Below are 13,424 nucleotides of genomic sequence, written 5' to 3' on the forward strand. Positions count from 1 at the left end.
TTTGTTCATTCTTTTTATTCTTTTTTCCTTATTTTTGTCTGACTGGATTATTTCAAAAGACATGTGTTCAAGTTCTGAAATTCTTATCTCTGCTTGGTCTAGTATATGATTTAAGCTTTAAAGTGTATGTTGTATTTCCTTCAATGAATTTTTGAGTTCCAGAATTTCTGCTTATTTTTTTAAAATGCTATTTATCTCCTTGGTAAATTTCTCATTCATATCCTGAATTGATTTCTGATTTCTTTGTATTGGTTTTCAGATTTCTCTTGCATTTTACTATCTTTAAAAATCAATATTTTAAATTATTTACCCGGCATTTCAAGAAATTCTTTTTCATTGGTATCTCTATTAAACTGTTCTCACACTGCTATTCCTGACACTGGGTAATTTATGAAGAAAAGAGGTTTAATTGACTCACAGTTCCACATGGCTGAGGAGATCTCAAAAAACTTACAATCACGGTGGAAAGAACAGAGGAAGCAAGCAGATCTTCATATGACCAAAGCAGGAGGAAGAAAGAGTGAAGGGGGAAGCGCTACACACTTTTATCAGATTTTGTGAGAACTTACTCACTATTATGAGAACAGCAAGGGGGAAATCTCCTCCCATGATCTAGTCACCTTCCACCAGTTCCCTTCTTCAACATGTGGGGATTACAGTTTGACACGAGATTTGGGTGGGGACACAGAGCCAAACCATATCATTCCGCCCCTGACCCCTCCAAAAACTCATGTCCTTCTTACATTTCAAAACACAGTCATGCCTTCTCAACAGTCCCCTAAGTCTTAACTCATTTAAGCATTAACTCAAAAGTCTAAGTCCAAAGTCTCATATGAGACAAGGCAAGTCCCTTACAACTATGAGCCTGTAAAATCAAAAATAAGTTTGTTACTTCCCAGATAAAATGGGGGTACAAGCATTGGGTAAATCCTTCTGTTCTAAAAGGGAGAAATTGGCCAAAACAAAGGTGCTCCAGGCCACATGCAGGTCCAAAACCCAGCATGGCAGTCGTTAAATCTTAAAGCTCCAAAATAATCTTTTTTGACACCTTGTCTCACATCCAGGCCACACTGATGCTGAGATTGAGTAATTTATGAAGAAAAAAGGTTTAATTGGTTCACAGTTCCACATGGCTGAGGAGGTCTCAGGAAACTTACAATCATGGCAGAAGGTGAAGGGGAAGCAAGGCATGTCTTCACATGGCCAAACCAGGAGGAAGAGAGAGCGAAAGGGGAAGACTACAAAGTTTTAAACAACCAGATCTCGTGAGAACTCACTCACTATCACAAGAATAGCAAGGGGGAAATCCACCCACCCATGATCCAATTACCTCCCACCAGGTTCTTCCTTCAACATGTGGGGATTACAATTTGGCATGAGATTTGGGTGGGGACACAAAGCCACACCATTATTGGTTGCTGGACACTTGTTGTGGTCCTTTGGTGGTGTCATATTTCCATGCTTTTTCATGTTTCCTATGTTCTTCCATTGATATCTGTATATCTGATGTATCAGTTGCTTGTTCCAATTTTTGAATTTGCTTTTGTAGGGGAGATTTTTAAAAAATACTTTGGCTTTGATTTTGGGTTCATGCAGTAGTGTGATCTTTGTATGATACTACTCTGAGTCTGTTCATGACTCAGTCTCAACAGTAGACCACAACAGCATGGCAGGGATCCTCCCGGGGGTGATGGGATTATCTAGTCTCCCCTCTCTCTCCTTGAAGCAGTGCAGAGGCAGTGCATGTTTGTATATTCCTGGTATCTAGGCCCTCAAAATGATGCCTGACAGAGGCTGCTCCAGGATTGGATGCCTGTGTGATTCTGTGTGGGTTTCCCTTTTGGAGTAACATCTCCGTGGAATCTTTAGGCAGCTCTTCATGTCAGGGAAAAGGCCCTAGTGGGTCAAGGATTTACCCCATAGCCAAGATTGTGAAAGCCCATTTTGGAGCCCTGGATGTTTCTCTCTTACTGTTTGCCCATATCCAAAAGCCTCTTGTGGCTCTCAGGCAGTCCCCAACTGGGTAAGCTGCCTTAGATCCTCTCCTTTCTTATTTCTGGTGCTTCCCATCCCTTGTTTGATGAATCCTAATGTTCTAGCCCAGATAATCTGTTCCAAATGTAAGTATCTACCTACTATTCTGATTCCTCTTCATGGAGAAGGCACATACTACCTGCATCTAGTCAGCTGTCTTTCAGTACTGTTTCCATGATCAAATTTTGATAACTAATCTTGCAATGACAAGATTTTACTAGAACCTGGCTCTACAGTTACACTGGCTGGATTTGAATCCCAACTCCACCACTTGCTAGCCTAAGCTCTCTGTGCCTTGGTTTGCTCCTTTGTAAAATAGAAATAACAAGAATACCTACCTTAGACGGTTGTTAGTAAACTTAAATGAACTATTGTACATAAAATGCTTAGATATTGCCTGATACATGTTCATAGTTATTATGATGATTACAGCAATCAAGTCAGATAGAGAACATAAGAAATTCTAGGAAGTGAAAAATTGGAATAAGCTTAGTTTTCAATCATGCCTTATTTTACTTCTGTCTTTCTTTTTCTGCTTCCTATCCACATTACTATTTCAATAGTGCAATCCGTGGAGAATTATACATCAAACACTAACACCTGCTATATAAGTCAAACTTTGTACCTCTGCTGTTCAGCAAGATCAAAATTTCCCTAAAAGCCTTTTGTATTATTCAGTGAATCCACTTTGCATTTTGATTAGGTTTGATATACATTACTAGAAAAATTGCCCACTTCTAACACAAAATTTTCAGTGACAGTACCATTTTCTTTTTTATAGGTACAATGACTGTCTGAGTGCCCTGCGAGCCCAAATGAGAGTTCTCAGCTTTGCCTTCTTACCCTCTGTGTGATGGAGGCTTAGGAAATTTTTCATTCTTTAGAGATGAGAAAAATGAACTAACAGAAAAGAGCTAAATACATGAAAACAAAGAGCGGACTTATCAAAATAATAAAATAAAAGGTATGAGAAGAAGAAAGCTAGTCCAGCTGTGTACTTACCCCAAGAATCTGGCTGAATAAAAAGGCATACAAGGGTGTGACTGTCCCGTTCACAGCTGCACCCACAGACCCTACCAGCATGTAGGGCCATTCTGGAGCACTGAATTTCAGAATCCTCCTAACTGGGGCAGGTTCAACTTCTTCCTGCACAGGAATGTCCTTGTCCTTGAGCAGAGAGAGGGTTATATTAATCATCTAAATGTACTCAAGACATTTTGCAGCAGATCCTTTGGCATTCACAGATTTAAGAGTCATAGTTTGATTAGTTATGAGTGACCTCAAATGTCTATGGGATATGGTTGTTTGTTATTTTTTGAGGAATCGTTTTGAACAAAACTATTGCTGTGGCTTGAATAAAAACTGAACTGAGGGAATACGCATTTGAAGGTGAGCTTATAGTTCTTATTTCATGATTACATGTGTATTAACTCTCAGAGAGTAATAAATATGTTGGATCTTGGAGAAAAATAACTCCCATTAAAAAAAGAAAACCTTTGCTACGGTTGTATTTATACCGGTGAGGACTGGTGAAATTTTCAATTTTTTAAAATAAATGTCAAGGTTCTATAATATAGTAACTGGCTAAAGCTGTAAGGTAGGCCAGTATATATGAAATAAGACAAAATAATTTTTAAAATACATTAAGTGGTGTCAACAGTTATCATTGAGATGTTTTCAGTAAGGTTTTCCTTAATCAGTACCCAGAGGTAAGTAGTACTGCATTTGGATTTCTAAATTGCACATTTTCATCACACAGAGTGGACATTAATCAGCATTTCTCTTTAGTTGCCATTAAGTCAGAGCTAGCAGTTTTTTATCTTCTCAAAGGCAAATATTATACATGGACCTCCGTTGTCTTTTTTGGCCATCGTTTTTCCTTGCTATGGATACTACTCAAGTTTGGTCTTAAGCGTAATTAATTCATTAATTTGTTAAATTTATTACCCACTTTGAGAAAGGATTTTAGGTAGCTTATATAGATTTGTATTGATTTTTAAAAGCTTTTCTATTGACATTTACCAAAAATATATACAGCAAATCGACTATAAAGCTTAATTAGTGCTCTCTTTCATTAACACAGTAATTTATCTTTTAGGGAGCAGGATGGCAGGGATAGACAACAGCAAGGATCTTCAAAAATTTTCCCTTTGCTTACAAAGTCAAAGACCACATTCATTTTAAATGAAAGTCTGTGTCATGTCCATTTCATTACAGTTGCAAGTCAAATAAAATGAGGGAAGGCAACTTGGACTGGTGATGAATTTGGTACTACCTCCACTTCAAGTTCTCTCTTGGCCTGCTCTCACCATTTGTACTTTGTCATTACTGCTCACTCATGCAGCAGGTCCTTCTGTTCAATTATTTCACCTGTGACAGCTTACTAGCTCTAGGCAACCTATGCCAGAAAGGAATAAGGGTACCTGGGAAAGCATGAGTGTAATAGGCATAGAAAAAATGGAGCTCTTGGAAAAGCCCAACGTGGCCACCCGTAAAGTGTATTACTAAGTGCTCTAGCTCTCTGGACCTCAGTTATTTCATCCTTAAAACGAGAGACTTGGACTAAGTAATTCTGGGGAAACAATCTCTCTGAGTCTCCCATGTTTATGCACATCTTGTGAACAGAGGCATTGATTACCTTCATTCGGGTTATTTTTTCAAGGGTATTTGTATAGCAAACAGTTTTGGAGGACAAAGAAGATGTCTTCATCCCAAGTGAAGTGCAAACCTTACTGCCCCCATCTGCCCATTATGAAAGAGTCAGGCTCCTCAAGCCCAGGTTTCCTCTCGTTTAAAACACCCACTTCATTTGTTGGTATCATCTGGCCCTCTTTGCATTGCCTTGTGGGAACTGGGGGTTGGGTTGGGGAGCCAGTGCAAATGCTGAACACTGGCTACTGCTATTGCTATGAATAATAAAGTCCTTTGTCTCTGGTTCAGGGTACTCGTGTGACAGAGCAAGACTGCATCTCCAAAAAAAAAAAAAAAAAAAAAAAAACCCGAATATGAACACTGTGATTCAGGATGCTCATGTATTCTGCCAGCATCATGAAATTGTGTGAGACTAACTGAATGCTTGCAATAGAGCAAAATATTTCACCCCTTCTCTGTTCTAGAGAGTGGTTGGTATCCAGATCTGGATGCTCTCAGATTCATGTGGGTTGATGATTAAAAAACCAGATTCCTGTATCCTGTCACGAGAATTCCAATTTAGTAGGCCTAACTGTGAATCTCTGTCTTAAAAAATACTCATCAGGTAATTCTGGTAACCAAAGTTCAGTATGTGAGAACTCCAAGGCTCCTCTCACCACTAAATGGCTAGGATTCTATAATGTATGTTTTAGATGTGTCAGCTGTGCTGTACGTACCATCAAAGGGTAGGCTTTGGAACTTGTGAAGACTATTAGCACTCACTAAATTCTGCCAGCTTCCTTGTGACATTAAATACCAGCATTTTCTGGAACGATTGCCCCACAGGATGGTCCACCCACAGCCTGACATGATAGAAATTTTCCCAACCTTCTGATACCTGAAGTTATCCTTAACTCTAAACAACAACACTTAGGACATTTCAAAGCGATACAAAGTAATTCTTGTCTAGTGGTTTTCATTCCAAGAGACACTAACAAGAAATACGAATTAATTAAAATAATTTTCTTTGGTTCCTCTATACTAAAAGTTTGACTTTAAAGTTTGACCCCCCCGAAAAAATGCAACTGTCCAGCTTGAATGATGCAAAAACTAGAAAATCTGTCCCTAAATATTGGACTTTTTATTGCATTTTATTTGATATCTCCACTAAAAGAACAGGAGAGGAATAAAAGAAAACAATACAAAAAATAATTAAAGTCATTCTGTAAAGAAATATTTTTCTCTCTGATTTTGCAAAATTAAACATAAAGAGAAGATTATAAATTAACAACAAATCTCACAGACAGGTAAAATTATAAAATTTATATGTGTTTCCTTGTACTTCTATTGTAGCACTGGCAGGTTGCACAGCACTTTTAAAAAAAATCATATGTAAAGAAATGCCTGTCAGCAGCTCCATAGTAGGGAGAGTAACAATAGCTCTTGTTCATTTTTGCATCCCCAGTGTGATACCTGGCACTTCACAGTGTACAATCGATGTTTATGGGATAAAAGAATGAATGAAACTTTTATGTCCATGCTGCATACATGCAACAAGAGATTTATTTAAAATTGCTCATCTACTATGATGCATTCATAGTTCAATGCTAGACACTGGGCTTTTCTGTTTCCTTTCTTACATCTTCTGTGTAGGCCAGAGGAAAAATAACCTCCGACTTAAATCTTAGGTCTTGCTTTCTATACTTTGTTACACTAATTTCTGCCTTCCATTCAGTAGAGGTTCCCTGCCCTAATAATAACTTTAAGATTTGATGATAAAAAGTGGTAACTATGACAAAGGAGCAGAGATTTTTCAAATGAACTAATACTGATAGCCATTTTTATGGGTCCCATCTCTGTCTTATCTTAACCAATGCCTAAATCCTATCACATAAGTTATCTGTGATGCAGTTATGGGTGTCTAATATTTGATCCTGACTTGATCTCATACATGTTCTGCCTTGTGTTTTAGTTTCACCAAAAGAGATTGCCTAAATATTAGAGACTAAAACCTTTAGCCTGTGGGTTTCCCTAATCCTAAACTTAATGTTGTCAACATTGTAACTAACATCTGACCCCGTTTACAGGAGCTAAGAGTACTGCTTGGAGAGCAAGGATAAATGGGTATAGTCTCATCTCTGTCACCAACTAACCATGAGACCTTGGGTGAAAGCACAGACTTCTCAGGAAATGGTTCTAAGTTTTAGAGTCAATACTCCACAAGACCACAAGGTGGCGATAACTCCTTTGTGTGAATCGACCTTTAGCACCGTAAGAGAGTATTTCCCAATCTACAGAAAGTAAGGTTAGGCCTTTTCCATCAACATGAGAAAAAGAAAGGATTTCACCAATGCTTGGGCTTGTGGAATTTAGTTAAGTATTAAAATACTTTAAAATACCAAAACAGAGCAACATTTTACCATATAATGTTACTTGAGATTAGAAATTTCATAAGTCAAATTTTATTAACCCTTTTCCATTATTTTCTTTTCAAAAATCATTAATTTTTTAAACCTAAAGGACTAACAAAATTATCGTACAAACCAGTGGTATTATTATGAGACCTTTTCCCCTTGGAGCTTTAGTATAATCACATTGGCTCTCCTATCATTTTTTCTCTCTTCTTCCTTTCTATCTCCCTTAACTAGAGAGAACGTAAAGTCACATCTTTTAAAACGTATGCTGGCCTACATATAACTGAGTTTAATTGTTCTATTCTAAATGTATAATGCTGACTAGTAGAACATAATATGAAACATTTTAATCTCTGTAAAACTAGACCGTATATTAGATTTAGATTTCCTTTTAGTTAAATGGTTCCCTCCTGAATTGTTCCTGCATCAAGAGAACTCTATGGGAATCTGATCTCCAGATGTCCAGGGAATCTGATGGTCCCCTACACCTACGCTAGGTCCTCTACCAGCTTGAACAACAACAATGAAAAAGTCAGATTTTCCTTCCCTCCCTCCCTTCTTTCCATCCTTTCTTACTTTTACTTTTATTGTCAAATATCTACCCAGAAACTAGAAAAAATTAAAATGCAAAAATTAAATATGATTGGTATTGTTATGGTTCAATAGAAATGTCAATGTAGTGTTTGGTTCTTTCTCCCCTGAAGCTCTATTAAACTCCTGCTCTTATATAATACATCTTATAGTTATCTGGGACAGCACCATGGACTCAATGAAATAGCTATTTCTAGAACTAGAAGAGAGGTTGAGTCTTTAGTGGCAGGATGCAGTAAGAAACTATGCTTGCTAAATGTGTTTTCTCTCACTGTGATTCATCCTGCTGCTCCTGAGAAAAAGTCTTCCATGGAATTTATTTAAAGCCTGTGTTAGAAATTGAGACCTCTGTTTATTCAGTATTAATACATTAAAAACAAAAGAGAACCCAATCACTCCCTTGTCATTTTCATACGGTCATAAAGAGTACTCTACTTTATTCCAAATTTGTCCATTATGAATCAATGTTTGTAATTACTGCCTAGTGGATTCACGTGTTGGAATTTTATTTAAGACAATTTGAAATTATATCATGCATAATGGATGTGCTTGTAATTTAAAAATTCTCTGACTTATTTGCTTTGATAAATCTTGCAGTTGGGGTTTTATTTTATTGTAGAAATTCATGTTTTCATTCTAATTTTTAAAATCTCCTGATGCCTTACTAAGTGCAAGGCACTGGGTTAGGTAACCAAGTTGATTCAAACACAAATAAGGTGTATCACTAACTTTCAGAGGCTTATAATTTAGAAAGGGGATAAGTCAACATGACTTTGATTAAGGCTCAATAAGAAAATTGCCATGAAAATTTTCTAACGAAGGGTGGTAGGGGAATGAACGTAAAAGTATCAGGGCTGACATGTAACGTGCAGTAATGAGGAAAGGCTTGGAGGAGAATGGGTGGTCTGTTTATGTGAAAATTAGACAATGTCTACAACAGCAGGACACCTGCATCCTTAGGAAGAAATTGTGTATTGCTATACATGTTGTTTGCTTTCCTAGCTCTTTAATTTTATGCTACCTTGAATTATGTTAAAATTGATAGTATTATTTTAAATGTATCTTAAAACCATTATAAAAATTGTATGAAATCAACAAATGTCTGTGAAACCTAATTGGCCTCCATTAATTCAAATATTTTGATAACTTGTAATAAGGGCTAGCCTATTCAAACACTTTTGTTGATCAAGGTATTTTTGCCAAAATTATTGTAATTTAAGAAAGAAATTTTAAAATTTGAGAAAAAAGCTTTCAGGTATTCTTAACAACTTTTATAAAAGGATTTCTACATATGAGCAAATAATCTGCTAAATATCTAGAATTCACACATTCTGTGTTTGTTAGAATAGTTTGTCTAAGACAATTAACCCTCCGAAGTCCAGTTTTCATTACCTTGTATTCTTAAAAATAATCAATTAACTAATCTGCATTAAAAATATTGTGTAAAACTTAGAGTTTTCATTAGGTCTTAATGCTCTGTCTTTTAGTCTGACTTGAAACACTGCTAGATATATACCTAGAAAACTCATATTCTCAGGCTTAAAGGGTACCCAACAGTCCCCAGGAGAGACTTCTTCCATTCCCCCCCATAAGCAGTTGGTGCCTGACCTTTCTATCTTCTTCATAGGTAGACTTATGATCTACAACAGCTAATGGAGGTTCGTGCACCAGGTAAGAAAGCTGAGACTTGGAGCGTTGCCGGATGGAAGCCCTGTAAATAAACAGAAAGATGAAACAGTGTAGACTGTGGCCAGATTGGAGCAGGATCAACTGGTGTCCAAGTTTACATTTCATATGTCAAATAAATAGAAATGTTTGGTAGGTCACATGGTAACCAGGAAAGGGAGCTTGCAGGTTAGGTTTGACAGAGCTAATCTTAGGGCAGAGCTAATCAGGTTGATTGCTCTGGGCCCTAAACTCTTGCAAGTGTTGGACCCAGATTCAGAGTGTAGTCAGGGAGGGAGAAAGAGAAAGGGAGCAAAGCTGTCCTACCAGTTCATCAAAAAACCACCTAAGGCTCAAATACTTTCCAAACCCACATGGTTCTGCTAATTGCTGCCTTGGCAACAGTCTATTTCCTTTACTTTCCTTCTGGCTTAGATTGTGGTCTTGATATCTTTCTCTCATACCTGATGTGTTCACTTTAGCATGGTTACAAATGATATGAGGAAATAGGGCCTCTGATGAGATTTTCTCCAGGCTATATACTACCCTGCATTCAGACATGCATGAATGAGTATCTTGTTGAAATATAATTTAGCTCAATGTGTTCATTCATTTATTCATTAATTCAACAGAAGCTTATTGGGCATCTACAACTTACAAACCAATGCCAGGTGATGTTGGGGACACAAAGACTAGCCAATAACAGATTTCTCCTTCAAAAAATTTAAACCTTATAGAAGAGGCCTGTACCACACCCTAAGGTAAAGAAGAATGTGGTAAGTGCTATTAGGCAGGTTTGAATAAAGAGTATGGAAAGTCAAAGGAAAAAGAAATGTATGGCAGGTGTTACCAAGGCAAGATTCATGGATGAGATGGCTAAGGTAGGATATGGGGATTTGTAGACTATAGAAAAGAGCATTTCTGACTGAGAGAATGTATAAACATAAGCATGGAGACAGGGGAGGACAGGGTTGCTTGCTGAATATACTGAGTACATGACAAGCATGGGAAGTGATTGGTTCAGACTCCACCCTCCTCTTCCCTCCCCCAGACTCCTGGGAAGGAGGCCCCCATTCTCCTCTAGGTTAATCTTAAAGTATTTAGTGCTGGGAGCTGTTGACAATTATGTTGAGACCTTCAAAAAAAGAAGCTTTCTGAAAAATGAAGCCAACAGTGAAATAGTAGAGCTGAGAAAGGAAGAGAGAGAAACTATTTTCTAGCTTGGACATATCACTGAAGCTCTAGCCTTGCCTGAAGCCAAAGCATCTTTGGAATATTTAGTTATATGAGCTGATTCTGTCTCTCTAAAGGTAAATCCAAGTTGGGTTAGGTTTTCAGTCATTTGTAAACAGTCTTAATGGTTAAGAGGCAATGCTGAAGACTGTGTTTTAGAAAGAATCACCTGAAGTAAATGGTGTAAAGAGAGAGATGTGAGTGATGAGGAGACCTGCATCAACTGTTTTAGTGCCATCTAGATGAATCCATTCACATATCTTTCTCTACCATTTTGCATCCAAGTGAAATTTCACCAAAACAAATATCAAGGTGGTGCCTGCCTACTATATGCTCATCTAGCCTTCCAGAGAAGGCAGTAATGTATCAACTGAGTTGCTCCAATTTGTTCCCATTTTCTGTTAATGGCACTTCCATCCTCTTAGTCACCCAGGTTCAACACCATGCAGTTTCCTCAAGCCCTCCCTCTTCCTTGCTCTTGCACATTCAGACTCTTGCCAAGACTCATTATGACCAGGCATTAAACCACTCCTCAACGCTACTCCCTGCCACCAAACTTCTGGGACACCTCCAGAGACTCCCTCCCACCTAGCCTGAAACTACACAGCAATGAAGTCATTTCTCCCAGTTAGGTAACAGAGGTCAGGATGTCTTCTCCAGAAGGTGTGCAGAATAGGCTTGTGTCAGCTGGTGAGAACAAGGTGCTTGATAGGAGGAGACTTAAGGTCAAGGACCTAAAAAGCAAATGCAGAGCAATGGATGCCAAGGTAGGAGTTTGTGGAGCAGGAGAGGCCATCAACATATGACTGACTACCTTCCAGTTCTGAGTATGGGAAGACCTATGTCCTTGGCCCCTTGGATATCTACTTTATATTTTTTAAGTCTCTCTCTTTCACCATTCTCCAGATCATTCGAGCTGTCTAGCCTAGGCTGTCATGAGGCCATGGGCAGTGCATGTGCTAGGCAGGTTTACCTCTCTCATCCACTAGAAACACCATCCCTTTTCAGAAACTGACAACATCTGTCTCTCCCCTTCTCTGAAGCTGTGTACCACTTCTCACTGCAAATAAAAACAACTAACTTGGGGGACTAAATACTATCTTTCTCAACATTATTATTTAGGAAATTTGTGGCTGTTATGTATTAAATTGTTCTTGAATTTAAAATATATTGCTGAAAAGGAACTTAGCCATCAGAAAAACTGAAACCAAAGAAACAAGATACATATTAACACTTCATTTAGTCATCTTTTAACGACAACAAGAAAAATCCGTCAGCATGTACAATGAGATATTTTAACAGACTTTCATACTCAAATGTACAAATCTTTCTCTGCAGGAGGTTAATAGCTACTTTCTGTGTGTAGATCGTATTTCTGGATTTCTCATCCTAATCACCAAAATGTAACATTTGTGAGAAATTATAGCCAAATTAATGTTCACATTAAAATGGTTAACTAGTTCTAATAATAAACTGCAAATAAACTACTTAACATGAGTAGAATTTTGTTTGTCTGAAGAGTTAAGAAAATATTTATTTTCTTGTTGGCCTGATCATAAGAAACATGTCCACTTTGCAACCTTTAACCTAGTGACCAAAAGAGATGCCTAGTCATTCTCTGGGTTTAAGAAGTTAGTTGATATTTTCAGGTTGTGATTCTAATGACTTGAATGATTTAAATTTAGTATCGAATCAGAAAAGCATGACTAAACTTACTACCAGGTGCCTATAACATTGTTTTATACCTTTTACATGACAGAGTAATGTGAAGCTATTGCTTTGTTATTTGCCAAATTCAGTAAATTCAGTCAAACTAGCATTTCTTAAAATTTGTTTGAATAAACTTGTTCTCAAGAAGAAAGATAGGAAAACCCAAGTCTGAAAATTCAAACTGATAAGGAAAAGATATACTAGGGCCTGAAGTATTTATCTACATCTGAAAATAAATACACTACTTTTTGTGAGCTATTCTTTGAATATTTAAATGAATAAATCTGCGTTTGAACTACTTGGAATTGTTAGCTGAATGTTTTAAGGCTCTTTAACAACTTTTCAATAAATAATTATCCATCTTGAATGAGCAAGTCTTATCTCTGCGACTTTGCACAGCCTTGCATTAAATGTCCTAGAAATGGAAATGGCAATCATAGAGATATTGCTACCATCTCATTGCCTTTTAAAAATCTTCTGACTTAAGAAAAAAAAATCTTGAATAACAGTTATAAATATAGACAAACACTCCTGGGCAGAATTCTTCTTAATACAGACTTGTAACATCAGAGGAGCAGTTTTATTGAAACTCTTAAACCAGGATGAAAGACTAAAGTGTGTAGTCTCACTAATAGCATACTCCAAAAATATATTTTGAAAGTAAACAGCTTTATATTGATCCAGGGAAAAATAAATAGCTCTTATTTAGGAAAATTATTTTTAAGTGCTAAAAAATTACATTTCTTACTTCATCTAGTTATGGAATGATTTGACTTCAGATGGGTTACTCTGGGAGCAGAAGTGTTTGTAATTCAGTTGCAGCTCAGTAGATTAAAGAGTGGAGCTAAAGGCATGAATTTGACCTTCACGTAAGACAGTGTTTCATACCACAGTTAGCTTGGAGCAGAGGAACACTAAACACAGATTTTTTTTAAAAGAAGTCCCCTTTCTAAGCTCAATACACAACAATTTTAACCATAAAGCATCTCCATTGTAACCCTTATCCCCAAGAAGATGAGAAGCTAACCAAAAACCCATGAATTGGGGAGAGAAATGTCAATATAGCAACCAAGGATCACTTGCATGTTCATATTTGACAAGACCTGGCAGTCTACTCAGAGTTTCCTTGTTGTACCTGAGATATTC

The 13,424-nt window shown here is 37.3% G+C and overlaps 1 protein-coding gene across 7 annotated transcripts in view; it reads right to left on the bottom strand.

Moving 5' to 3' along the window:
* Nucleotides 1–13,424, bottom strand: part of ABCB11 (ATP binding cassette subfamily B member 11) — a 115,935-nt gene that overhangs the window by 39,538 nt on the left and 62,973 nt on the right. For all 7 annotated transcript variants that reach the window (XM_017005165.2, NM_003742.4, XM_011512078.3 and 4 more), the window contains 2 exons: nucleotides 9,279–9,381; nucleotides 3,037–3,201 (listed from right to left, as the gene is read on the bottom strand). In XM_017005165.2, the coding sequence (XP_016860654.1) occupies nucleotides 3,037–3,201; nucleotides 9,279–9,381 (268 nt within the window). The remainder of the gene's footprint in view (nucleotides 1–3,036; nucleotides 3,202–9,278; nucleotides 9,382–13,424) is intronic.

The sequence above is a fragment of the Homo sapiens genome, chromosome 2 (assembly GCF_000001405.40).
Source record: "Homo sapiens chromosome 2, GRCh38.p14 Primary Assembly".
NCBI classification, from domain to species: domain Eukaryota; kingdom Metazoa; phylum Chordata; class Mammalia; order Primates; family Hominidae; genus Homo; species Homo sapiens.